Below are 26,831 nucleotides of genomic sequence, written 5' to 3'. Positions count from 1 at the left end.
ATTGTAGTGAGCTCAAGTGTTGCAAGTATCTGCTTGACCATGTGATGCTGATAATCTCTGCACAAGTAATGTGTCTCTCAAGTAAATTGTGTATTGCAGTAAAAAATGATCTCATGGTTCTCGTATGTTTTTCATCATGTTTAGGGCTATGCTGGAAACCTTGACTAACACCATGAAACCCACATAAAGTGCCACTAGTGATGCTGGAAGTGCTCCCAATGAGCAGAGAAAAATCATGACATTACAAGAAAAAGATGAATTACTTGATATGTACTGTAGATTAAGGTCTGCAGCTGTAGTTCCTCACCATTTCTGACAGTTCATCTTGTAAACAGATGACAAGCTTATGGTATTAATACTTTACAATACTGTAAATATTTTATCTTCCTTATGATTTTCTTAATAACTTTTTTCTCTAGCTTTATTGTAAGAATACACAATATAATACATATAACACACGAAATATGTATTAATTGACTTTGTGGCATCTGGTCAACAGTAGGCTATTGGTAGTTAAGTTTTTGGGGAGTCAAGAGTTATACTTGGATTTTTGACTACATGGGGGATTTGGCACTCCTAACCCTCGAGTTCCTCAAGGGTCAGTTGTATGCATTTTAGAAAAGAAGAAAGAGAAAATTTTTCCCCTTTCCTCCCATGAACACTTCGGACTTGTTATTTAATAATGAAAGTAGAAGAATAAACAACAAATTTGCATAGTCGAAGAGAGTACTTGTTAACTGGACAATAGATCTGTAAAAATCACTCAGACTATAACAATATAATAGTACAGAGAGATAAAAGGAGAATGTGATAAAACAATAAAGTGAAATGATAGGCAGAATAAGACTCTCCAACATCTGCCAAATTGGAGTTCTACAAGGAGGAAATACAGAGAATGGTCCATAGGCAGTATTCTAAGATATAAGGACTATCAGTTTTTCATAATTAAGGAAAGATAAGAATTTGCAAATTAGAGTAGCATGCTAAGTCTGGGCAGGGTAAAGTAAAACAGATCCACATCTAGTTATATCATGATAAAACTGTATGTAGAACATCAAAGACAAAATTTTAAGGGCAACCAGAGAAAAGATAGTACCTACAAGAGAGTAACAGACTGATAAACTTATCTATATCAGTAGACTCCAGCAGAAAATGCAATAATAGTATCAATTAAGAATCACAGTTGAGTTTTTATCCAGGAAGTGAGGATGAAATACAATTTTTCAGACAAAGTCTCAGAGAGTTTGCCACTCACAGATTCTCTTAAAATAACTACAAAATAAGTTACTTCTCTAAGAGGTAAAGTGAACCTCAGATAAAGGAGTGGAATTGCAAAAAGCAATGATGAAAAAGTGAATTAGCAAACATGTTAATCTAATTACAAGTTTTGCTGACTATAAAGCAAAAGTCAAACAATTGGAGGGCGGGTGAAAAAAAAATTGGAGGGCAGGTTAAAAACAAACAATTGGAGGGCGGGTGAAAAAAAAAAGTCAAACAATTGGAGGGCGGGTGAAAAACTATCATGGAAGGTGAGGAGGCAACAGATAAGAGTTACGATGTTTTAGACAATATTTTAAGGTCCTCGTATTTTCAGGCAGACAAGATATCTATCAGTTGACTTCTTCATTGTATTTTTTGTTTTCTTGCCTGTAAAATGGGGAAGATAGTAATTCCTACCTCAGAATTGTGAGGATTAAATGAATTAATACACAGAAAGCACTTAGAATGGTACTTGACGTATATTAATAGTATATGTTCCATACATGTTCTAGCCATTTTCATTAATAGCATTATTAATTAGACTTTAAGAAAAGACATAAGACAATTAAATCTGAAGGAATAGAAAAAGAAAACAAAGCAAATACTAGCTTTTTAAAAAAAGCTAGTAGTTGATACAAAAATAGAAAGGCTGAAATAGACTTTATGCCTAAAAGGATTTATTGAAAATAATGAGGCTCTTTACATAAGAGATAGAGAAAGATTCACCACTACAAAAATAAAAGGATCCTGAGCCATATGTGCATCTAAAAAACTCAAAACATAATGAAATATGACAGGATAACAAGGGAGAAACTGATAAATCCACAATCATTGTAGGAGATTTTAAACTACCTCTTTCAGAAACTGATGAAGCGGTTAAAAAGGAAGGACATAGACAAGTTGTACACAATTAGCAAGTTTATCTAATGAGCTGTGGTCAAAAAGATATAATACCCATATAATAAAGCACATGTAGAATGTTCACAAAAATGTAACCAGCTTGGAGTTACAGAGGAAGTCTCACTGTACTAAAAATTACAGTCATACAGCTCACACTCTAAAATTTCATACAATTAGGAATCAATAATGAAAAGGCAGCCCTCCAAAAATTTTAACCTGTATGTTTGGAAACCAAGAAACTTCTAAATAATTCATTGATCAGAAAAATTATAATGGAAAGTATAAAATATTTAAAATTGAATGATAATGAAAACATGTCAGCACTTAGAGGAAAAATTTATACCTACATTATACTAAAGCAGTTCTTGGTGGAAGCTTTATACAGTCGTCCCTTCCTATCTGGGGGATTGGTTACTGGATCCCACTCAGTTTCCAAGATCCACAGACTCTCAAGTCCCTTGTAGAAAATAGTATAGTATTTGCATATAACCAATACACCCTCCTATATACTTTAAATTATCTCAGGATTACTTATATACCTAATACAATGTAAGTGCTATGGAAATAGTTGTTATACTGTATTGTTTAGGGAATTATGACAAGGAAAAGTCTGTATATGTTCAGTACAGATGCAACCATCCTTTTTTTAAACAAAGTATTTTTGATCCATGGTTGGTTGAATCCACAGATGTGGAATCCACTAATACAGAGGGCCAACTGTACTTACAAATGCATATACAGTCCTGTGTCACTTAACAATGGGGATACCTTCTGAGGAAAGCATTGTTTGGTGATTTTGTCATTGTATGAACATCATAGATTGTACTTACACAAACCTAGATGTCATAGCCTACTACACATTTATGCTATATGGTATAGCCTTTTGTTCCTAGGCTGCAAACCTATACAGTGGACTACTGAATACCATAGGCAATCAAAACATAATGGTATTGGTGTATTTAAACATATCTGAGTAGAAAAGGTACAGTAGAAATATGGTGTTTATAATCTTATGAGACCACTGTCATATATGTGGTTTGTCACTGACCAAAATGTTGTTATACTGCTCATGACTGTATTTAAAAAGGAAGAATGATTGAAAACTATTGAGTCAAGCATTCAACTCAGAATGACTGAAAAGGAACAACATAATGAACCCCCCAAAGTAGAAAGGAAATAATGATATGAAGATAAATTACAAATTGAAAACAGGGCAATAATAAAGAAAAGCAACAAATCAAAAGCTGGTTCTCAGAAAAGTCTAATGAAATGTTAGCCCTCTGGCAAGACTGATTTTTTTTCAAGTAGCAGAAGGAGCAAACAATATGTAAAAGAGCTGATAAACTAATATACTATCTCCTTAAACCTGTGATGAGCAATCTGAGGTGTGGGCCAAATGCTAAACATTTTTATTATTGTGAAAGAACTAGTCAAATATCTTACCTGTAAAATGTAGATCAATAATATTAATCTCAGTCTTTTCATGGAAGGGCTTATGCTTTTAAATACTTTTCAGCTTTTAAATATGACAAGGTTTAATATTTCTAAGAATAACACTTAAATCAGTTATCAGACTGTCAAGTACCCAGTCAACACAAAGTAATCTGAATGAAAGATGTAAAAACCTGTATTTTTGTTACTGCTTCCCAAATATTACTGTTTTAGTAGATTAAAAAGTGATTTCAATTTTCTCAGCGATAACCTTCTATTCAATAATGTAAGTAATATTTTAAGAATATTATTATATTTCTATCTATGGGACTTAATAAAGGTATTTTCATTTTGAGTGAAAAAGAACCATTGAGCTGGGCGCAGTGGCTCATGCCTGTAAATCCCAGCACTTTGGGGGGCTGAGGCGGGCAGATCACCTGAGGTCAGGAGTTTGAGATTAGCCTGGCCAACATGGCAAAACCCAGTCTCTACTAAAAATACAAAAATTAGCCAGGCGTGGTGGTGCACGCTTGCAGTCCCAGCTACTCGGAAGGCTGAGGCAAGAGAATCACTTGAACCCGGGAGGCGGAGGTTGCAGTGAGCAGAGATCGCACCACTGCTTTCCGGGCTGGGCTGGCAAAGTGAGACTCTGTCTCAAAAAAAAAAAAAAAAAAAAATTAACATTGTTATTTTTTGTGAGTTGATCCTCCAAAGAGGTTATTTACCCTCCACTCTATTAATATTAATTTGGTTTATTAAAAGAATAGCAGGACTGTATCAGTATCTCATTCACCTCTTTGCCTACAGGCCTCAACTTGATCTACATGCAAGTAACCTTTTTAGAAAGAAGTTACTAACTTTTGTTTGACCACCTTGAACAAATCACTTGAACCTCTGTGGATCAAGGTTTTTCCAACTCTTAACTTTTGGTTTGAGACCAAAATGATTGCCTATAGTATTTATCAACTATAAAGTATGGGTACCTAGAAGCAGCATGATACCAGCCTAAACCTGTTTGGGCTTTACATTAATCTTTTTTTTTTTTTTTTTTTTTTTGAGATGGAGTCACTCTGTCACCCAGGCTGGAGTGCAGTGGCGTGATCTCGGCTCACTGCAACCTCTGCCTCCCAGGTTCAAGTGATTCTCCTGTCTCAGCCTCCCAAGTAGCTGAGATTATAGGCACACACCACCAGGCGCGGGTAATTTTTTGTATTTTAGTAGAGACAGGGTTTCACGGTGTTGACCAGGCTGGTCTGAAACTCCTGAGCTCAGGCAATCCACCTGCCTCAGCCTCCCAAAGTGCTAGGATTACAGGCATGAGCCACCGCACCCAGCCTACATTAATCTATTAATAAGCATTGCATCATGGTTAAGAGCACAGTCTTCAGCTAAATGTCTGGGTTTCAATCCTCACTCACTAACTTTATGGGCTGGGATAAGTTTGTAACCATTCTGTACTTCTATTTTCTCATCTGTAAAATGGGAACAAGAGTGACTATATCAGAGTTGTGCAAGTTAATTAGATATCATATGTAACATATTTAAAGCAATGCCTGGCCCTAATTAATACCATGTGTTAGCCGTTGTCATCACTATTGATTGTGTTTCCAAGTATTAACAATTTGTTGAAAGCTATCTTCATTTGTTAGGGAAAGAGCTCCCTGGAGCCTTACCAGAAAGCTCAAATACAATTATGAATGTAGTTCAGATTCAGTGATGGTACATTTATCACCAATGTTTTGTGAAACTGCACTTGAAGAGAGTCAAATACACAAGTGTTTGGTCACTTTTACATATAATCTCACAAGAAAAATACCATATAGACTCTATAGTGCTTTTGTATATTTTCATTGTGCTTACTTTTTTTAATAGAATGGAATGAAATAAAGGAAAGTAATTATTAAGTAACTGGAAACCTCATTTACTACATTTACTACTCAATATGTTGTATTACTCAACAGTCTAGTAACTGATCTAAGTATTACTCTTAGAAATATTAAAACTCTTCATATTTAACAGCTGAAAATTATTTAAAATCATAAGTCCTTCCATGAGAAGACTGAGGTTAATACTATTGATCCACATTTTTACAGGGTGAGATATTTGACTAGTTCTCTTATAATAAAAATATTTAGAAAGGCATTGAATACCTAGTGAAAATTCAAATAACATTCTTTACTATTTATTACCTAACATTTTTTGCTATTAGTGCTGAAATGTGAAAATGAATTACAAGTTAAAGGAGCAAAGTAATTTTAATACTTAATTTTGGAGCCTTACTGAATGCAAACAGCATAGTACAAAATTCAGGAAACTAGTATTGACCTTTAGGCAAAGATTTTCTGAAATAAAGGTTTAAGGTACAATTTGGGTTTTCATTTGTGGTTTTCCACAAAACATTCATTTTCAGCTTTTTTTTAGAGACAGATTTTAATTTATTACTCCAAAACTCTCTAAAATCATAATATATTGTTATTCTTTTCCCCTTACATTCTTTACTAAATTTTTAACCATATTAATTTATTCTGTTTGGAACTTAAGGATAAAGACTTGTCAAATAAGGCATAGTTCATAAACAAGAGAAATAACTAGTGCTTTAACAAAATTTCTGTAAGTTTTTTCTCCTTTTGCATTAGAGACTATTTTGGGGTAACAATTTAATTGTGATAGGGTTTTTTTTGTTTTGTTTTTTTTGAGGAAGACATAGGTCCAAAGTAACAATGAGAGGAATTATTATTAATCAGTTTCTGAACCAGTGGACTCAATGAAATTGAGTTTCGTTTGACTGTTTTTCATTAGTGGTGAACAGTTTGGGTTATTCATTCATTTGCTTGTTCATTCATAAACATCAAAAGCCAGTATATTTAAGACACTGAAAATCTTAACTCTACTAATATGTGTCCTCAAATACTTGCTAATTATATATCAAATGTGTTTAAAGTACATAGTGTATATGGTAGTATAAAGTACTCTAGAACAAACAACTAAATAGCTCATAAAACAGTTATCTACTTGACCATTGATAAGTACAAACATTATGTTCTACTAGAGCTATAAAATCAAACAAACTTACATTTCAACCCAGTGGGCATATGAAGGATTATGACTTAGTTACATCCTATGTCTTCACGTGTGCATCTGTCAATTTGTGAAACTTGTAAAAGTTTAGATAAGCCATGACCTTGGATAACTACATGGCATTTTAAATGGAAGGTAACCATTTATTTATTTTATTGTTATCTTAAATAAATAATGAGTGATATACTTAGATCTTTCCAAGGATTTACTAAATAAATATGCATTTAAAGATTCAGGTCCTCAAAAAATTTAAATAAAACTACCATATGACCCAGCAATCCCACTACTGAGTATATATTCAAAGGATATTAAATCAGTATGTCAAAGAAATATCTGGACTCCCATGTTCATTGCACCATTATTCACAATAGCTTAGATACTGAATCAACCTAAGTGCCCATGAACACATGAATGGATAAAGAAAATATGGTATATATACTCAGTGGAATGCTCTTAACCTTTAAAAAGAGGGAAATCCTGCCACTTGGGACAACATGAATGAACCTGGAGAATATTATGTTAAGGGAAGTAAGCCAGGCACAGAAAGACACATACCACATGATCTCACTTATAAGTGGGATCTAAAAAAGTCAAAATCATAGAACAGAAAATAGAATGGTGACTACCAAGTTCTGCTGGTCGGGAGGGCCGAGTGATTGGGAACATGTTGACCAAATGATAAAAAATTTCAGCTAAACAGGAGGAACAAGTTCAATTATTGTATAATTGACTGTAATTAATAACAACATATTATATACTTGAAAATTGCTGAGAGAGTAGACTTTCAGTGTTCATACCATAAAAAATGATAAGCATGTAAGGTAATAGATATGTTAACTAGTTTGATTTAGCCATTTCACAATATATACATATTTCAGAACATGTTATACACTGTAAATATTGTGTCAGTTTAAAAATAAAATTAAAAGGTACTTTTACCCCTAAAATCAAATTTATTTTACAATGATATTACGAGGAACTTAACTATTTTCTGAGTATCGGTATCACCAATCCCTTGTTGTTAACTTGAGAAAAAAAATAAAGGTGGAATAATGCAAACTGGAAGCCTTTATATGATATCATTGATTAAAATATTTGATGAAAGTATCCTTTATCTAATAAAGTTTACTAATGCATTTTAACCTAATTATAGAATCATATTTGATTTCTCTTTAATATACCAACCTTCAGTGGAAATTTTATTCAAAAGATTATTTTTTCTTATATGGTATTGTGAGTAAGAAATTAGGAAAATGGGAAATGAAAAAAAACAAAATAGGATACTTTTTCTTTGCCCACCTCCCTTCCATTTGTCCTTTTTACTTTCTATTTAAAATTTGACAAACTAAATTCTATTTAAAATTTGATGATTTCTCCTTTAACTTTATGTCCTTTTCTTTATTACACATATATAGAAAAGAGAAAAAAATTGAATCACCCCAGTTTAACTGAAAGCAAAGAATCTACAACAAAAGACAATGATGAGTAAGTTTGTTATTTTTGAAATTATATATGTGTATCTTGCAGAAAGACGTTCATATTTGTTAAAGTGACCGTTTAAAAGCATTTATTTGTAGAAATTAATAGTTTATACCTGACCTGAAATATTCTTTCTTAAGTAAGTAGAATACCTTAGTTGTGATGTGGTTTGTGATGTTCTATAATGGTTATATATGATGCCTTAATTTTAATACTCATTGAGCCCTGTTCTCCGAGCCTATGCGTAATAGACCAGCGCAGGGTAAAACTGAGGAAGACACTTATTTCAGATTTACATGGATGGAGAAGTAATGCGTGGTTTAGGAACAAAGTGTCTTAACAAATAGCTGGTTCAGGATGGAGCTAGAAACAGTGAAGCCAGCAGAGTGAGAGATCTAGAGGAACCTGGAAGGCCTACATGCGAGCAACCAATCATTTTCAAATTGTCCTGCTGGTGGTTCCTTTGAATGAAGACATTATCTGCAGAAAGTCTACGTAGGAAAAATCTGGGAAGAATACAGATGGCTCTCCATGTCTGTGTATTACACATTTGTGGATTCAACCAATGACAAATTGAAAATATTTCGAGAAAAAAATGAATGGTTGCCTCTGTCCTGAACATATACAAACTTTTTTTTCTTGCCATTATTTCCTAAACCAATATAGTATAACAACTATTTATATAGCATTTACATTGTGTTAGGTATTATAAGTAATCTAGAGATGATTAAAGTATATGGGAGGATATGCATAGGTTATATGCAGATACACCATTTTATATAGGAGACTTGAGCCTCCATGGATTTTGGTATCTGCAGGAGTCCTGGAACCAATTCTCCACAGATATTGAGGGACAGCTGTATTTGTATCTTCTTCCTGGAAGGATTGAATTAAGCAGAACAGGGGTTAAATTTTCAAAGTAGTGCATATGTTTAGCTCATTTACCATTTCAGTGTATCTTCTATGTACCACACCAATGGACACTAAAGAGTAAAGAGAAGGAAAATGAAGTTTTCCCCATTGGGAGCTTATGATCTTTTTTTTTTTTTTCCCTGATTGTCTCACTCTGTTGCCCAGCCTGGAGCACAATGGTGTGATCGCCATTCAGTGCAGCCTTAACCTCCTGGGTTCAAGCAATCCTCCCACCTCAGCCTCCTGTGTAGCTGAGACTACAGGTCCACGCCACCACGCCCTACTAATTTTTGTGTATTTTTTCGGAGACGGAGTTTCGCCATGTTACCCAGGCTAGTATTGAACCCCTGGGCTCAAGCGACCCACTCGCCCAGGCCTCCCAAAGTGCTGGGATTACAGGTGTGAGATACTGCATGCAGCCTGGGAGCTTATGATCTTATGCTGTAAGTTAATATACCTTCCTCAATTTAGAAATGGGTTATGTTTACAAATGTTTTTGGAGTCATTTACATGGAACTCAGAATGCATTTTCCATGCAAATAGTGTTATAATCTGTGGCTACAGCCCCAAGTCAGGGCACAGATCTATTTATTTCATAATATAGCTGAACTATATAGTTTTGGTAGTAGTCCAGATTAAAAGATGTGGAAACTGAGTGCCATTTAAAATACTTTAGGGACAAAGAGAAGAGTTTTTCAAAGAAGCCTCATTGTTTGGCATCTCCTCCATCTGTCCTCTGTTTGCTTTTAGTAGCTGTTTTCCCTCGACATGCTGCTCCTCCAGCTCCAAATATTTGCGTGTTTCAGTCTTTTCTGCCCCACAAATATTTTTGTTGTAAATTATTTCTTCCTACTCCTAATCAAAGCTTTTGTTTCCTCAGTGAACTGATCTCAACTAGATATTAACAGGAAAGCATTCTTTTTTGTTTAACTTATTTAATGTTTTTTAACATAGGAAATATATGTACACAGGAAAAAGTTCAAATTATACAAAAGGATATACAGTGAAAGCAAGTAGCAAGTAAAAATTTAAAAATTACAGATAATCTTGTATTTGACAGCAGGTGCCTGCTAAACCAAATTAATTTCTGGTGCAGTTATATAAAATGTAAATAGGCAGCAAAGGAGGAAATGTTGTTGGACAAAAGTGATACCAGATAATCAAGCCTGTTGTTTTTCTCCCTGAATCAGGTCCACTTAAACTTAATAGTGTCTTTCCTTCTTTCTTCTTGTAAACCCATCAATTTATTTAGAGCTTAGACTTTTAAAACAATAGCTCCCATGGCAGTGGGCTTCAAGGAGCAAGGGAAGAGCAAGAATCATTGTTATGAGTCACATAGGAATTTGCCTATGTTTACTTAATTTATTAATTTCTCTCCATATTTGTTTCTAAAGATCTCTGTTATTTAAGTATATCACTCCATGAATTGGTGTTATAATTAGTGAGTTTAAGTAAGAGCTGAGACATTTTACAACATATAAAAATAATAGGCCGGGTGCCCATTATTATCTACTAAAAATACAAAAATTAGCTGGGCATGGTGGCAGGCGCCTGTGGTCCCAGCTACACAGGAGGCTGAGGCAGGAGAATCACTTGAACCTGGGATGGGGAGGTTGCAGTGAGTTGATATCGTGCCACTGTACTACAGCCTGGGTGACAGAGCAAGACTCTGTCTCAAAAAAAAAAAGTATTTCTATCAGGAGACTGAGGAAAGAAGATTGCTTGAGACCAAGAGTTCAGGGCTGTAGTACACTGTGATCCCTCCTGTAAATAGCTGCTGCACACCAGCCTAGGTAACACAGTGAGACCATCTCTTAAAAAAAAAAAGAAAATGATACGTTTCTTTTTTTTTTTTTTTTTGAGACAGTGTCTTGCTGTGTCACCCAGTCTGGAATGCAATGACACAATCTCATCTCACTGCAACCTCCGCCTCCTGGGCTCAAGCTGTTCTCCTGCCTCAGCCTCCCTAGTAGCTGGGATTACAGGCACCCGCTACCATGCACGGCTAATTTTTGTATTTTTAGTAGAGACCGGGTTCTGCCTTCTTGGCCAGACTAGTCTCGAACTCCTGACCTCAGGTGATCTGCCCGCCTCAGCCTCCTAAAGTGCTGGGATTACAGGCATGAGCCACCGCACCTGGCCAGGATGCATTTCTGATTGTTTTTTTCATTCATTAAAATAACTCAGTTCTAGCTAATAAAGCCATTTTTATCTTTAGTAATAGGTTCTTTATTCCATTTGTTTAGATTTCTTTTATTTTTTAAAACCACTGCATAAAGACTTGGATTTTTTGTTTTTCTTAAGAAACAGAGTCATGCTCTGTCACCCATGCTGAAGTGCAGTGGCACAATCATAGCCCACTATAACCTTAACCTGTTGGGCTCGAGTTATCCTCCCACCTCAGCCTCCTGAGTAGCTAGAAGTACAGGTATGTTACTACCCCTGGCTAATTCTTTTATTTTTTTGTAGAGATGTTTTCTTGCCATGTTGCCCAGGCTGAACTTGCACTCCTGGGCTAAAGCGATCCTCTTGCCTCAGCCTGAAGACTTGGATTTTGTAAATCTCAAATTAAATGGAATATTGCCAGGCATGGTGGTTCATGCCTGTAATCCTAGCTCTTTGGGAAGCTGAGGCAAGCAATTTGCTTGAGCCCAGGAGTTTGAGACCGGCCTGGGCAACATGGCCAGACCCTGTCTCTACAAAATTTTTTTTTAAATTAGGTGGGTGTGGTTGTGCACACCTGTGATCCCAGCTACTTGGGAGGCTGAGGTGGGAGGATCACTTGAGCCTAGGAGGTTGAGGGTGCAGTGAGCTGTGATAATGTCACTACTCTCCAGCCTAAGCGACCGGGTGAGACCTCATCTCAATCAATCAGTGAATCAATCAATAAACAACATTTCACATTTGTGGATCAGTTTTTGTTTTTGTTTTGTTTTGTTTTTATTTTATTTATTTATTTTTTTTTTTTATTGATCATTCTTGGGTGTTTCTCCCAGAGGGGGATTTGGCAGGGTCATAGGACAATAGTGGAGGGAAGGTCAGCAGATAAACAAGTGAACAAAGGTCTCTGGTTTTCCTAGGCAGAGGACCCTGCGGCCTTCCGCAGTGTTTGTGTCCCTGGGTACTTAAGATTAGGGAGTGGTGATGACTCTTAACGAGCATGCTGCCTTCAAGCATCTGTTTAACAAAGCACATCTCGCACCCTTAATCCATTTAACCCTGAGTGGACACAGCACATGTTTCAGAGAGCACAGGGTTGGGGATAAGGTCACAGATCAACAGGATCCCAAGGCAGAAGAATTTTTCTTAGTACAGAACAAAATGAAAAGTCTCCCATGTCTACTTCCATCCACACAGACCCGGCAACCATCCGATTTCTCAATTTCTTCCCCACCCTTCCCGCCTTTCTATTCCACAAAACCGCCATTGTCATCATGGCCCATCCCCAATGAGCCGCTGGGCACACCTCCCAGACGGGGTCGTGGCCGGGCAGAGGGGCTCCCCACTTCCCAGTAGGGGCGGCCGGGCAGAAGCGCCCCTCACCTCCCGGATGGGGCGGCTGGCCGGGCGGGGGGCTGACCCCCCCACCACCCTCCCGGACGGGGCGGCTGGCCAGGCAGAGGGGCTCCTCACTTCCCAGTAGGGGCGGCCGGGCAGAGGCGCCCCTCACCTCCTGGATAGGGCGGCTGGCCGGGCGGGGGGCTGACCCCCCCACCTCCCTCCCGGACGGGGCGGCTGGCCGGGCAGAGGGGTCCTCACTTCCCAGTAGGGGCGGCCGGGCAGAGGCGCCCCTCACCTCCCGGACGGGGCGGCCGGCCGGGCGGGTGGCTGATCCCCCCACCTCCCTCCCGGACGGGGCGGCTGGCCAGGTGGGGGGCTGATCCCCCCACCTCCCTCCCGGACGGGGCGGCTGGCCGGGCGGGGGGCTGACCCCCCCACCTCCCTCCCGGACGGGGTGGCTGGCCGGGCAGAGGGGTCCTCACTTCCCAGTAGGGGCGGCCGGGCAGAGGCGCCCCTCACCTCCCGGACGGGGCGGCCGGCCGGGCGGGGGGCTGACCCCCCCACCTCCCTCCCGGACGGGGCGGCTGGCCGGGCAGAGGGTCTCCTCACTTCCCAGTAGGGGCGGCCGGGCAGAGGCGCCCCTCACCTCCCGGACGGGGCGGCTGGCCAGGCAGGGGGCTGATCCCCCCACCTCCCTCCCGGACGGGGCGGCTGGCCGGGCGGGGGGCTGACCCCCCCACCTCCCTCCCGGACGGGGCGGCTGGCCGGGCAGGGGGCTGACCCCCCCTCCCCCCTCCCAGATGGGGCAGCTGGCCGGGCGGGGGGCTGACCCCCCACCTCCCTCCCGGACTGGGCGGCTGGCCGGGCGGGGGGCTGACCCCCCCACCTCCCTCCTGGACGGGGCGACTGGCCGGGCAGAGGGGCTCCTCACTTCCCAGTAGGGGCGGCCGGGCAGAGGAGCCCCTCACCTCCCGGACGGGGCGGCTGGCCGGGCGGGGGGCTGACCCCCCGCCACCTCCCTCCCGGACGGGGTGGCTGCCGGGCGGAGACGCTCCTCACTTCCCAGACGGGGTGGCTGCCGGACAGAGGGGCTCCTCACTTCTCAGACGGGGCGGTTGCCAGGCAGAGGGTTTCCTCACTTCTCAGACGGGGCGGCCGGGCAGAGACGCTCCTCACCTCCCAGACAGGGTTGCGGCCCAGCAGAGGCGGTCCTCACATCCCAGACAGGGCGGCAGGGCAGAGGTGCTCCCCACATCTCAGACGATGGGCGGCCGGGCAGAGACGCTCCTCACTTCCTAGATGGGATGGCGGTGGGGAAGAGGCGCTCCTCGCTTCCTAGATGGGATGGCGGCTGGGCAGAGACGCTCCTCACTTTCCAGACTGGGCAGCCAGGCAGAGGGGCTCCTCATATCCCAGATGATGGGCGGCCAGGCAGAGACGCTCCTCACTTCCCAGACGGGGTGGCGGCTGGGCAGAGGCTGCAATCTCGGCACTTTGGGAGGCCAAGGCAGGCGGCTGGGAGGTGGAGGTTGTAGCGAGCCGAGATCACGCCACTGCACTCCAGCCTGGGCACCATTGAGCACTGAGTGAACGAGACTCTGTCTGCAATCCCGGCGCCTCGGGAGGCCGAGGCTGGCGGATCACTCGCGGTTAGGAGCTGGAGACCAGCCCGGCCAACACAGCAAAACCCCGTCTCCACCAAAAAAAAAAAAACGAAAACCAATCAGGCGTGGCGGCGCGCGCCTGCAATCGCAGGCACTCGGCAGGCTGAGGCAGGAGAATCAGGCAGGGAGGTTGCAGTGAGCCGAGATGGCAGCAGTACCGTCCACCTTTGGCTCGGCATCAGAGGGAGACCATGGAAGGAGACCGTGGAGAGGAGAGAGGGGAGAGGGGAGAGGGGAGAGGGGAGAGGGAGAGGGAGAGGGTGGATCAGTTTTAAATGATCATAACATTTTATGTTTTGTTTTGGCAATATTCTTTTTTTTTTTTTTTGCAAAAATATCATAGCTAGGAGAGATACCAGAGACGAAGCAAGGCATCTGCTTCTAGAATAATTCCTGTAGCTTCAGTACCTTGATGGAGTCACTGTAGATTCAGTGTTTGGTCCTACACTATACAAATTTAGAAACTCACCATGAGATGTTGAAGCATAAGGAATTAATGAATACTAATCAGCCTTAGGACAAACCGAAAAATAATGGAAATGCCAATTTATTATGAGAACTTTATTGATATCAGTAGTTTTCTCAGGACAGCCTCTTCTGAAAGTCAGTCTGTTCAGATTTAAAAAAAAAAAAAAAGGTTATTCACTTTGGGAGGCTGAGGCGGGCGGATGACGAGGTCTAGGAGCTTGAGACCAGCCTGGCCAATATGGTGACACCCCATCCCTACTAAAAATACAAAAATTAGCCAGGCGTGGTGGCTTGCACCTGTAGTCCCAGCTACTCAGGAGGCTGAGGCAGAAGAATCCCTTGAACCCAGGAGGCGGAGCTTGCAGTGAGCCGAGATGGTGCCACTGCACTCCAGCCTGGGTGACAGAGTGAGACTCCATCTCAAAAAAAAAGAGTTATTTAAAGATATTCCACAATCTAAGAAGTAGAATTAAGGGAGTAAGAAGTTTTAACAGATACCTTCATTTAGCTGAATTAGTTGTATATATCCTTTTCTCTACAAAAGATAGCACTGTTATTTGTTATCAGCATGGGAAAAATTTTATCTGGACCCTTACCCTCACACCATGCACAAAAATCAATTCCAGGTGGATTGGAAGTCTGAATATGAAAGGTAAAAGAATAAAACTTTTAGGGGCTGGGCACGACGGCTTATGCCTGTAATCCCAGCACTTTGGGAGGCTGAGGTGGGCAGATCATGAGGTCAGGAGATAGAGACCATCCTGGCTAACACAATGAAACTCTGTATCTATTAAAAATATAAAAAAATAGCCAGGCATGGTGGCGGGCGCCTGTAGTCCCAGCTACTTGGGAGGCTGAGGCAGAAGAATGGCGTGAACTTGCAGTGAGCCGAGATCGTGCCACCACTGCACTCCAGCCTGGGTGACAGAGCGAGACTCTGTCTCAAAAAAAAAAAAAAAAAACTTTTAGAGGACTGGACCTTGGATTAGGCAAAATGCCAACAATAAAAGGGGAAAAAATGGATAAATTAAACAGCTTTAAAAGTCCTTTTTATAAAAAGAAACTTTTTAGAGTGTGAAAGTACAGCCCAGCGTGAAAAGATTTGCAAGACAATCCAATAGAAAAATGGGCAAAAGACTTTAATTGGTACTTCACAAGAGCAGATTTTCATGTAAACCAGCAAACATATGAAAAGGTACTCAGCTGGAAAGTGTCATCTGGGAAAATGCAAATTAAAACCTCCATGAAGCACCACTACATCCTCACTAGAATGCTGAAAATAGAAAAGAAGGAAAATACTGGGTAGATCTTCTGGAGTGAGAATGTGGAACAACTGGAACTCAAATAAACTGCTGGTGGGAGTATAAGTAGATGAAAACCACTTTGGGAAACTGTTTGGCAACATCTAAACCAGGATATATGCATACCTTATGGCACAGAAATTCCACTTCAGGGTATATACCCAACAGAAGTGTATACATATATTTACCCAAAGACAAATACCATAATGATCATTGCAGTCTAATTCCTAGTCACCTCAAATTTGAAAATATCCAGATGTCCATCAACAGTCAAATGGATAAACAAATTATGGTATTTATCTAATGGACTACAGTGAAAATTATCTATAGCTAACAACAATGGCTGAATATCACAAACATAATGTTGGATGTGGAAAAAACTAGACACAAAAGGTTTCATAGTGTATAATTCCATTTGTATGAAGTATAAAAATAACCAAAACTAATCAATACTGCTAAAAGTTAGTAGTTATTCTTAGTTTCTGGGATGTTGTCAGTGTTCTCTTTCGTGATCTGGGTACTAACTGCAATTGAATGAGCTGTACACTTATGTGTACCCTTGTCTCTTCTTTTATTTCTATACTAATAGACTCCCAAACTCTCATGTAAATGAAGTCTTGTGCCGAGACCAGCTCGGTCGGGGAGACCCTAACCCAGTGGCGCTAGAGGAATTAAAGACACACACACAGAAATATAGAGGTGTGAAGTGGGAAATCAGGGGTCTCACAGCCTTTAGAGCTGAGAGCCCTGAACAGAGATTTACCCACGTATTTATTAACAGCAATCCAGTCATTAGCATTGTTTCTATAGATATTAAATTAACTAAAAGTATCCCTTATGGGATGGGCTGAATTAAAGGAATTAAAGGAATAGGTTGGGCTAGTTAACTGCAGCAGGAGCATGTCCTTAAGGCATAGATCGCTCATGCTATTGTTTGTGGCTTAAGAATGCCTTTAAGTGGTTTTCTGCCCTGGGCGGGCCAGGTGTTCCTTGCCCTCATTCCGGTAAACCCACAACCTTACAGCGTGGGCGTTACGGCCATCATGAACATGTCACAGTGCTGCAGAGATTTTGTTTATGGCCAGTTTAGGGCCAGTTTACGGCCAGATTTTGGGGGGCTTGTTCCCAACAGTCTTGAACAACACCAGCAATTTTTTCAGACATGTTATATGATTAAGTAGATTTTTAACTTTTGGACTGCATGGCCTTGCCTGGGACATTTTCCAAACTGTGTTCTATAGGACATTTGTATCTTTAGATATGCCCATAAGTGTTCATGGGGTTAAAACATAATTTTGGGTCAGGCATGGTGGGTCACGCCTGTAATCCCAACACTTTGGGAGGCCAAGGCGGGCAGATCACCTGAGGTCGGGAGTTCGAGACCAGCCTGACCAACATGGAGAAACCCCGTCTCTAGTAAAAATGCAAAAATTAGCTGGGCATGGTGCCCATGTCTGTAATCCCAGCTACTCGGGAGGCTGAGGCAGGAGAATTGCTTGAACCCGGGAGGCAGAGGTTGTGGTGAGCCGAGATCGTGCCATTGCACTCCAGCCTGGGCAATAAGAGCAAGACTCTGTCTCAAAAAAAAAAAAAATAATAATAATAATAATTTATGGTCAAGTAGGTATAAGTAAAGGAGATATCTTCATCTTAAGGATTTACAAAGCATAGTAAGTAAACATGGGTAATAATAGCTAGTAATTATTGAATATTTGCCATGTCTTAGGCATATATTATCACATTTAATCCTCTTAACAACCCAGTGAGGTAGATAATGTTATTGCCCTAACAACGGTGAAGAAACTGACATTTAGAGAGGTAAAATAACAGCTTAAGCTCACAAAGCTTTATGTTGGGCAGACTTTTTTTTTTTTTTGAAACAGTCTCACTCTGTTGCCAGGCTGGATTGCACTGGCACAATCTTGGTTCACTGCAACCTCCACCTCCCTGGTTCAAGCAATCCTCCTGCCTCAGGCTCCCGAGTAGCTGGGACTACAAGCACACACCACCACGCCCACCTTATTTATTTATTTATTTATTTATTTATTTATTTATTTATTTTGAGACAGAGTTTTGCTCTTATTGCCCAGGCTGAAATGCAATGGCACGATCTCTGCTCACTGCAACCACCACCTCCTGGGTTCAAGTAATTCTTCTGCCTCAGCCTCCTGAGTAGCTGGGATTACAGGCATGCGCAACCACGCCTGGCTAATTTTGTATTTTTAGTAGAGATGGGGTTTCTCCATGTTGGTCAGGCTGGTCTTGAACTCCCTACCTCAGGTGGTCCGCCCGCCTCGGCCTCCCAAAGTGCTGGGATTACAGGCGTAAGCCACCACGCCTGGCCAATTTTTTGTATTTTTAGTAGAGACGGGCTTTCACCATGTGGGCCAGGATAGTCTTGATATCTTGACCTTGTGACCTGCCTGCCTCGGCCTCCCAAAGTGCTGGGATTACAGGCGTGAGCCACCGTGCCCAGCTGCAGACTTCTTTTAATCATTGTACTAGAGTAACTGACACTATGGTTTACTATCTTATTTTGTCTGCCCAGCATCTCTTCCTGCTGGGATTAACATTCTTTAAATCACTCGTTACCCCATTCCAATAATGTGGCTCTTTATTTAAAGACTACCAAAGTCTTACATGACCCTACCCTGGACAGTTGATTGGTCCAGGGGTAGGCACCTGACCTAAACACAGTCAGTCAGTTATTTCACAGAATTTATAAAATTGGAAGTAGGAAAAGAGACTACTTCTCAGATGGAGATCTTCAAGCAAAGATGATACTGGCAGCCATGTTTTTTACTATGTATTAATAGATGAACTGGTTTGCAGTGAGAGAGAAAGAAGCCCATAGCCAGAGAGAAGAGAGGCATTAGGCAGGGTCCTGTTTGTCTTCTGGCTTCTTTCTGTTGCTCCTTAAGCCTTGCTCAACCTCAGCTTCCCTTTGATTATGGGAGATACTCTAGTATCCCTCCAATAAGTGCCCCCTTTTTGTCTTAAAAGATAAATATGTTTACCTTCAGTCATTTACCAATAAAAGAAGATACAGTATGTAAGATTACTTCAGGGTTTCTCAATCTCAGCACTGTTGACATTTGGGTTGGGTAATTCTTTTTGGTAGAGGCTGTCCTATACATTATAGATTGCTTAACAACATCCTTGGCCCCTACCCATTAGATAAGTTGTTAGAACACAGTGTGGTATTATGATGGCCAGTATGACCTATAGATATGTCTAATAGAGTCTATAAAACTAGAAGATACAGTGGCTCATTTCTGTAATCTCAGCATTTTGGGAAGCCAAGGTAGGAGGATCGCTTGAGCCCAGAAGTTCAAGGCCAGCCTGAGCAACATAGCGAGACTCCATCTCTACATTCAATCAATCAATCAATCAATCAATCAGCAAGCAAGCAAGCTGGATGTGGTGGTGTGCCTGTAGTCCCACTACTCGAGAGGCTGAGGTGGGAGGATCACTAGGGCCCAGGAGGTGGAGGCTGCAGTGAGTGGTGATCATGCCAATGCACTCTAGCCTGGGTGACAGAGCGAGACCCTGTCTCAAAAAAAGAAAAAAAAAACCCTAGAAAATAACTATAATTTAGAAAGCAAGATGCTTTTAAAATACATTCTTAGCCAGTTAGAACAAATAATCTATTTTCTGATATGAGAACACTAAATGTTAATGATTATAAACTACTACAAAACAAGTTTCTAAATAAATTTTCTTATTTGCAAAAGCTAGTGAATAGTCAATATCCATCACTGGCCTGTAATCCCAGGACTTTAGGAGGCCAAGGAGGGAGGATCACTTGAGGCAAGGAGTTAGAGACCAGCCTGGGCAACAAAATGAGACCCCATCTCTACAAAAACTAAAAAAATGAGCCGAGCATGGTAGTGTGCACCTGTGGACCCAGCTACATAGGAGGCTGTTTGGAGAATCATTTGAGCCCAGGAGGTGGAGGCTGACATCTGCAGGCCGAAAGAGCCATGGCCTTGGAAGGGCCATAAATTCCACCACACTCTTGGTGGCTCTCACCCTGCAGCTTGGAGAAGGCGCAATACTCCATTACCACTAATATAAATAATGTTTGTAAAATTCTTACCTAATAAAACATTTAGGACAGGCATGTCTGCTTACAAGTAAGGTATTTTTTGTCTGTTAAAACTAGTCTGTAGCTTGTTTCATGAATGCTTTGTCAAATTATGGAAGTTAAAGTGCAATGATATTTGAAGACTATAAGTGATGGTGTATCTTGTTTCTAATAAGATAAAACTTTTTGCCTTTGTTTTATCTTATTAGGGAATTATATGTCAGTGTTTGAAACATGCTGTGTGGTATAATAGGTTTAAAATAAATTCTTTAAAAGAAGAATACTGAAACTAGCCTTGTAGATATGTCTGGTGCACGTGATGAAACGTACAGCTTTATTGGGGTTGGTGGCAATGCCCTGCTGGCTAACTTTCAAGTGACTGGGTTTTTTAAGTTTGGCAAGTACAAAATTCTAAAATTGGGTTTTCCTTTAGAAATGTGTAGGGTCGGGGGAGGATGTCCTAACCGTATGTTGTCGTCATATGTAGTTTCATCCAGTGTTCCACATGTGTGACTGCTGTTTCTGAGAGAAGTTTCCAAAATGTCACCATTTCTCAGAACTGAATAAACGTATTGCCAAGAGGCTTTTCTTAGGAATGAAACGTATCTGGGTAAATGTAAACAAAATTGTCTCTGTCTTGACAGTACCAAAGTTCACATAAAAGGTGAAAGCTCCTGGATCAATGCCATGGCTCCATGGAAGGCGATGGATAGTAGATACATATTAAAATATCTATCTGTAACACTAATTTGTTACCATTATGAATCCTTTCAGCTGCATTTGAGGAAAAAGTAGTTGGCTATTTAGAAGTGTGTACATCATTGTTAGTCATTCTTACAGATAAAAACATCTTGGGTCAGCCCACTCTGTCCACTCTTATAGGCTACAGAGAAAAGTCATAATTGGTGTCAATACAAGTTGATGGTTTCCAATCTTAAAAAAAAAATTTAATTAAAATAAATAAAAAATAAATGTTAAATGCAGTAAAACTACGAATTTGAATAGAAACATGACTCAAATCATTTTTACAAATACATAGTTTTGTTTATTCAAACAAAAATCTTGAGACCCTTAAAAACACAAAATTTATGAAGTAGAGTTCATGGAGAAAAGATGCTTAAGAACTGCAAACAAAATTTCCCACTGGGGCTGGATGTGGTGGCTCACACCTATAATCCCAGCACTTTGGGAGGTCAAGTCAAGCAGATCACCTGAGTTCAGGAGTTCAAGCCTGAGCAACATAGGGAGATCCCATCTCTACAAAATTTTTTTTTTTAATTAGCAAGCCTGGGTGGTACATGCTTGTAGTCCCACTACTGAGGAAGCTGAGATGGGAGGATCACTCCAGCGCAGCAGATTGCACTCTAGCCTGGGAGACAGAAAAATACCCTATCAAGAAAAAAAAAAAGAAAAAAATCCCACGGGTAAAATATCTATAAATACCTTTTGTAAGCTTTTAACAGTTTAGAGACATTTTTTAAACTTTAGATTCTTAAATAATTTTAAATTTACAGAAAATTTGCAAGAATATTAAAAAGAATTCCTGAACACTCCCCCAGAGTCGCAAATTGTTAACATTTTGTCACATGTACTTTCATTCTCTCTTTCACACATGTGCACACACATACATAGGTACTCAAACTTTTCTGAATATTTGAGAAGTTGCAGACATCCTTTTTTACTGCTAAATCCTTCAGTGTGTATTTCCTAAGAATAATATTATTTAACCATAGTAAAAATATTAAAATCAGGAAATTTAACATTGATATAATTACTGTTATCTAGTGTATAGTCCAAATTCAAATTTTCCTAGTAATGTTCTTTATTGCAATTTTTCTCTTGATGCAGGATTCAATCCAAGATTACATAAATAGTTCTTAAAGTTTCCTTCAATCTAGAACAATTTTTTTAACCTTTTATTGTCTTCTCTGACAGTGATATTTTTAAATAGTGTAGACTGTTTTTTGTACGTCATTCCTCAGTTGTGTTTGCCTGATATTTTGTCATTATTCATGTTATGTATTTTGGGGCAAAAATATAGAAGAATGTTGAATTACATCAAGAGATATTTTGTCCTATTATTGATGAATTTTAATCATTTGATTACAGTGATGTTCACCAGGTTTATCTATATTAAAAGTAATCATTTTCCCTTTGTAATTAATAAATACTTTGTGGGGAGGTACTTTGTCATGTTTCACCCAGTAGTTTTAACATACATTGATGATTCTTGCCTGAGTCAGTTATTACTGTAATGATTGCCATAGTCATAATTTTCTAACTCCATCATATCTATATTTATTAGTTGACCTTCTGCTGGTTGGCCATTTAAAAATTCATCTGTTCATAGTGATACAAGGTTTTTCCTTGACTTCCCCTTTTCCATATTTCTATCCCATCTCAAATCTAAATCTCTGTCTCCTAAGAGCAGCAATAAATTTGCACATTTGCTTAATCCTACATCATACACAAAATACTTGCAGAATTCCCATGCTCACAGCACTGCTAAAAACAAACCTGCAAAGCATTCAAGATTTGTTTGCAGTTTTTTGTCTCTAAAGATATATAGTCAAATTACTGTTTTCAAAAATTATTTGGATTAGTTCTTCATTTGAAGAAGTATTCATTTGAAATAGGTTTTCTTGTTCGTGAATTTTACTTTTTTCTCATCCTTTTTGACTTTTTAAAATGAGATAAGCCATCATTATGGTTCTAAAAGTCAAAACTGTTGCCAAAAAAGGATACTCAGAGTAGTGTTAATCCCTCCCTCATTCCTTCTACCTATTTCTTGTGGGTAACCAAATTCATTAGTTTCTTATTTACCTTTCCTATGTTTATTTCCATAAAATTAAGCAGTTTCATTTATTTTTTCTTATTTTTTTATACAGATAAGGTGGCACACCATATGTACTCTTTTCACTTTGCCTTTTTTACTGATGAATACGTCCTGAAATCAATTCCTATTGATCAATTTGGAGAATTTTAAATGTAAGAATCCTCTCAACAGGAAAATACAGTTCCATGTTCTAGGTTTAAAAATGTTTTTTTCTTCACAAAACAAGTAGTTAATGGCATGTCAATAAAGCCCATTTGTAAAAAAACAGCTACACGTTAATATTTTATGTGAACTTCCATATCCTTTATGTTTTGCAAGGAATATATATAATTTACTGCGATTGGCTTTTCTTCCTCTTGGCAATTTGCTGCTGCTGTAGCTGGCATTGCTATGAAAATGCAGTAATGGTGACTGTCCTGTAAGTTTTATTTTCAGATAATTGTAGATTTACTTGCCATTGTGAGAAGTAAAACAGAGACATCATGTGTATTGTTTTCCTAGTTTCCCAACATAACATCTTACAAAACTGTAGTACAATATCACAACCAGGAAATTGACATTGACTCAATCCACTGATCTTATTCATATTTCCTGTTTTGCAATGAACTCATTTGTGTGTGTGTATTTAGTTCTGTGCAATTTTATCACGTGTAGATTCTTGTATCTACCACTGTAGTTATGTTACAGAACAGTTCCATCACCGCGAGGATCCCACCTGTTGTATAGGACTTTTTTTTTTTTTTTTTTTTTTGAGACAGAGTTTCGCTCTTGTTGCCCATGCTGGAGTGCAATGGCATGATCTTGGCTCACTGCAACCTCCACCACCTGGGTTCAAGTGATTCTCCTGCCTCAGCCTCCCAGATAGCTGGGATTATAGGTGCACGCCACCACCATGCCTGGCTAGTTTTTAGTAGAGACGGGGTTTCACCATGTTGGCCAGGGTGGTCTTGAACTCCTGACCTCAGGTGATCCACCCACCTCAGCCTTCCAAAGTGCTGGGATTATAGGCATGAGCCACTGTGCCCAGCCTAGGACTTATTTTTAGTCACTAGCTCATTCTCTCTTACAGGCAGAAGAGTAACTTTTTTAGATGTGTATTTTTTGTTATTTCTGCACTAACCCAAATAAAATCTTTTTAATAGTAGTGAGTTATGCCAGAACTGGTTTTTTAAAAATTTTTGTTGTTTTGTTTTGCATTATGTATGCAATTTAATTGTGACAACCACTGGTCAGTATTCTAAATTCCTCTTAACTGCTCAAATGATGGTCTCTAGGGATAAGTTAGTTGAAAATGTTTATCAGAATCTTAGGATGAAGATATAAGCCTATATTCCATATTAGGCCTATTCTGTAGGTGAGCAAAGGCTAAGAGGAAAGCCAATCTTAAAAAGAGAATTATTTTCAACTGTTTAAAATTTTAGATATGGAAGACTGAAAGCTTTCCCCTAAAGATCAGGAGCAAAACAAGGACACCTGCTTTCACCACTGGTGTTCAACATTGTATTGGAAATTCTAGCCAGAGCAATTAGATAAGAAAAAGAAATAAAAGTCATTTAAATTGGAAGGGAAAAAGTAAAACAATCTTTATTTGAAGACAAGATGATTCTCTATAGAGAAAATCCCAAGAGTGCACAAGAAGCTACTAGAGCTAATAAACAGAGTCAAAAAAAGTTTCAGGGTATAAGATCAACACACAAAAATCAGTTTCCATATACCTGTAATGAATTTGAATAGGAAATTAAGGAAGCAGTCCATTGCAGTAGCATCTGAAAGGATAAAATACACAGGAATAAATTTAACTAAAGAGGTAAAAAACTTGTACACTAGAAACTACAATTCATTTTTGAAAGAAATTAAAGAAGATCTAAATAAAAGGAAAGATATTCTGTATTCATGGGCAAGAAGATTTAATATTGTTAAGATGTTAATGCTACTACCCAAAGCAATCTACAGATTCACTGTAATTCCTATATTTCTTTTGCAGAATGATTAAACAGCACTTTTTGCAGAAATGGAAAAACCTGTCCTTAAATTCATATGAAGCTACAGGAGACCCTAAATAGCCAAACAATCTTGAAAAAGGACAAAGTTGGAAGACTCATATTTCCTGATTTCAAAACATACTACAAAGCTACAGTCATCAAAACAGTATGGCACTGGCGTTAACAGTAGCCATAGAGACCAATGGAATAGAATTGGGGGTCCAAAACAAATGCATACATCTATGGCCAGTTGGTTTTTGACAAGGAGGCCAAGTTTATTTAATGGAGAAAGAATAGTCTCTTCAATAAATGTTGCTGGGAAACAGGATTTCCTTACAAAAAAGAATGAAGTTGGATTCCTACCTCACAGCATATGTAAAAATTAAATCAAAATGGATCAGTGACCTAAATATAAGGGCTAAAACCATTTATAACTATCTTAGAGGAAAACATAATGATAAATCTTCATGACCTTGAATTTGTTGATAGATTCTTATATAACAACACCAAAAGCACAATGAACAAAAGAAAAAATAAATTTGACTTTATCAAAAGTAAAAGCTTTTGTGTTTCAAAGTACACCATCAAGAAAGTGAAAAGGCAAAGCACAGAATGGGAGAAAATATTTTCAAATTATATATCTAATAAGGGTTTAAGGTCCAGAGTAGATCAAGAGCTTCCAAAACTCAACAAGAAAAAAGACAATCCAATTTTAAATATAGGCAAAGACTTGAGTAGATTTTTTTTTTTTTTTTTTTTTTTTTTGAGATGGAGTCTCACTCTGTCGCCCAGGCTGGAGTGCAGTGGCGCAATCTTGGCTTACTGCAAGCTCCGCCTCCCGGGTTCACGCCATTCTCCGGCCTCAGCCTGCTGAATAGCTGGGACTACAGGCACCCGCCACCATGCCTGGCTAACTTTTTTTTTTTTTTTTTTTTGTAGTTTTAGTAGAGACGGGGTTTCACCATGTTAGCCAGAGTGGTCTCGATCTCCTAACCTCGTGATCTGCCCACCTCAGCCTCCCAAAGTGCTGGGATTACAGGCATGAGCCACGGCGCCAGGCCTTGAGTAGATATTTCTTGAAAGAACTTATATAAATTGCCAATAAACACATGAAAATATATTAAATATCATTAGTCATTAAAGGAATGCAAATCAAAACCACAGTGAGACCTTACATCTTAAACCTTACATCTACGAGGATGTCTATTTAAACAAACAATAAAAATGGAAAATAACAAATATTGGCAAGGATATAGAGAAATTAAAACCCTTGTACATTGTAGCTCCTGTGGAAAACAGTCTGGCACTTTTCTCAAAAAGTTAAACATATAATTACCATAAGACCAAGCAATTTCACTCCTAGGTATATGCCCAAAATAAATGAAAACAGTGACTCAGATATTTATATACCAATGTTTATTCCATCATTATTCACAATAACCAAAAGACAGGAAACAACCCAAATGTTCATCAGCAAATGAATGGATAAAGTGTGGTATGTACATGCAGTGGAATATTATTTATTTATGAAAAGGAATGAAGTTCTGATACATGCTACAACATTGAAGAATCTTGAAAGCATTATGCTAAGTGAAATAAGCCAGACACATAAGGACAAATACTGTAAGATTCCAGTTGTATGCAATGTCTAGAATAGACTAATTCAAAGAGATAGAAAGGAGATTAAAGGTTACTAGAGGCTGGAGGTGGGAAGCATGAAGAGTTACTGCTTAATGGTTATACAGTTTCTGTTTGTAGTAATAGAAAACTTTTGGAAATAGATAGTGGTGATGGTTGCACAACATTGTGAATGTAATTAATGTCACTGAATTGTACATTTAAAAATGTTTAAAATGACAAATCTTGTATATAGTTTATCACAATAAGAAATTTTTTTAGAAAAAATTTTAAGCTGAACGGAATGCAGAAAAG

General features: G+C 39.2%; 1 protein-coding gene across 15 annotated transcripts in view, besides 1 other annotated feature; it reads left to right on the top strand.

Moving 5' to 3' along the window:
• ITGB3BP (integrin subunit beta 3 binding protein) overlaps positions 1 to 26,831 on the top strand; it is an 88,418-nt gene that overhangs the window by 42,270 nt on the left and 19,317 nt on the right. For all 15 annotated transcript variants that reach the window (NR_045147.2, XR_007058557.1, XM_047416577.1 and 12 more), the window contains one exon: positions 8,085 to 8,154. Coding sequence is in view for 13 of the 15 variants with exons in the window: in XM_047416577.1 (XP_047272533.1) it covers positions 8,085 to 8,154 (70 nt within the window). In the remaining 2 variants the exon portion in view is untranslated. The remainder of the gene's footprint in view (positions 1 to 8,084; positions 8,155 to 26,831) is intronic.
• Positions 11,945 to 12,862: an enhancer, noted in NCBI's record as "NANOG-H3K27ac-H3K4me1 hESC enhancer chr1:63939727-63940644 (GRCh37/hg19 assembly coordinates)". NCBI's record gives its function as "activates a minimal SCP1, AML or CMV promoter by ChIP-STARR-seq in primed H9 embryonic stem cells {active_cell/tissue: H9 hESC(primed)}" and the evidence as "EXISTENCE:reporter gene assay evidence [ECO:0000049][PMID:30033119]".

Source organism: Homo sapiens, chromosome 1 (genome assembly GCF_000001405.40).
Source record: "Homo sapiens chromosome 1, GRCh38.p14 Primary Assembly".
Taxonomy (NCBI): domain Eukaryota; kingdom Metazoa; phylum Chordata; class Mammalia; order Primates; family Hominidae; genus Homo; species Homo sapiens.
The sequence above is the reverse complement of the archived record's forward strand: the minus strand, read 5'-3'. Positions and strand labels throughout refer to the sequence as shown.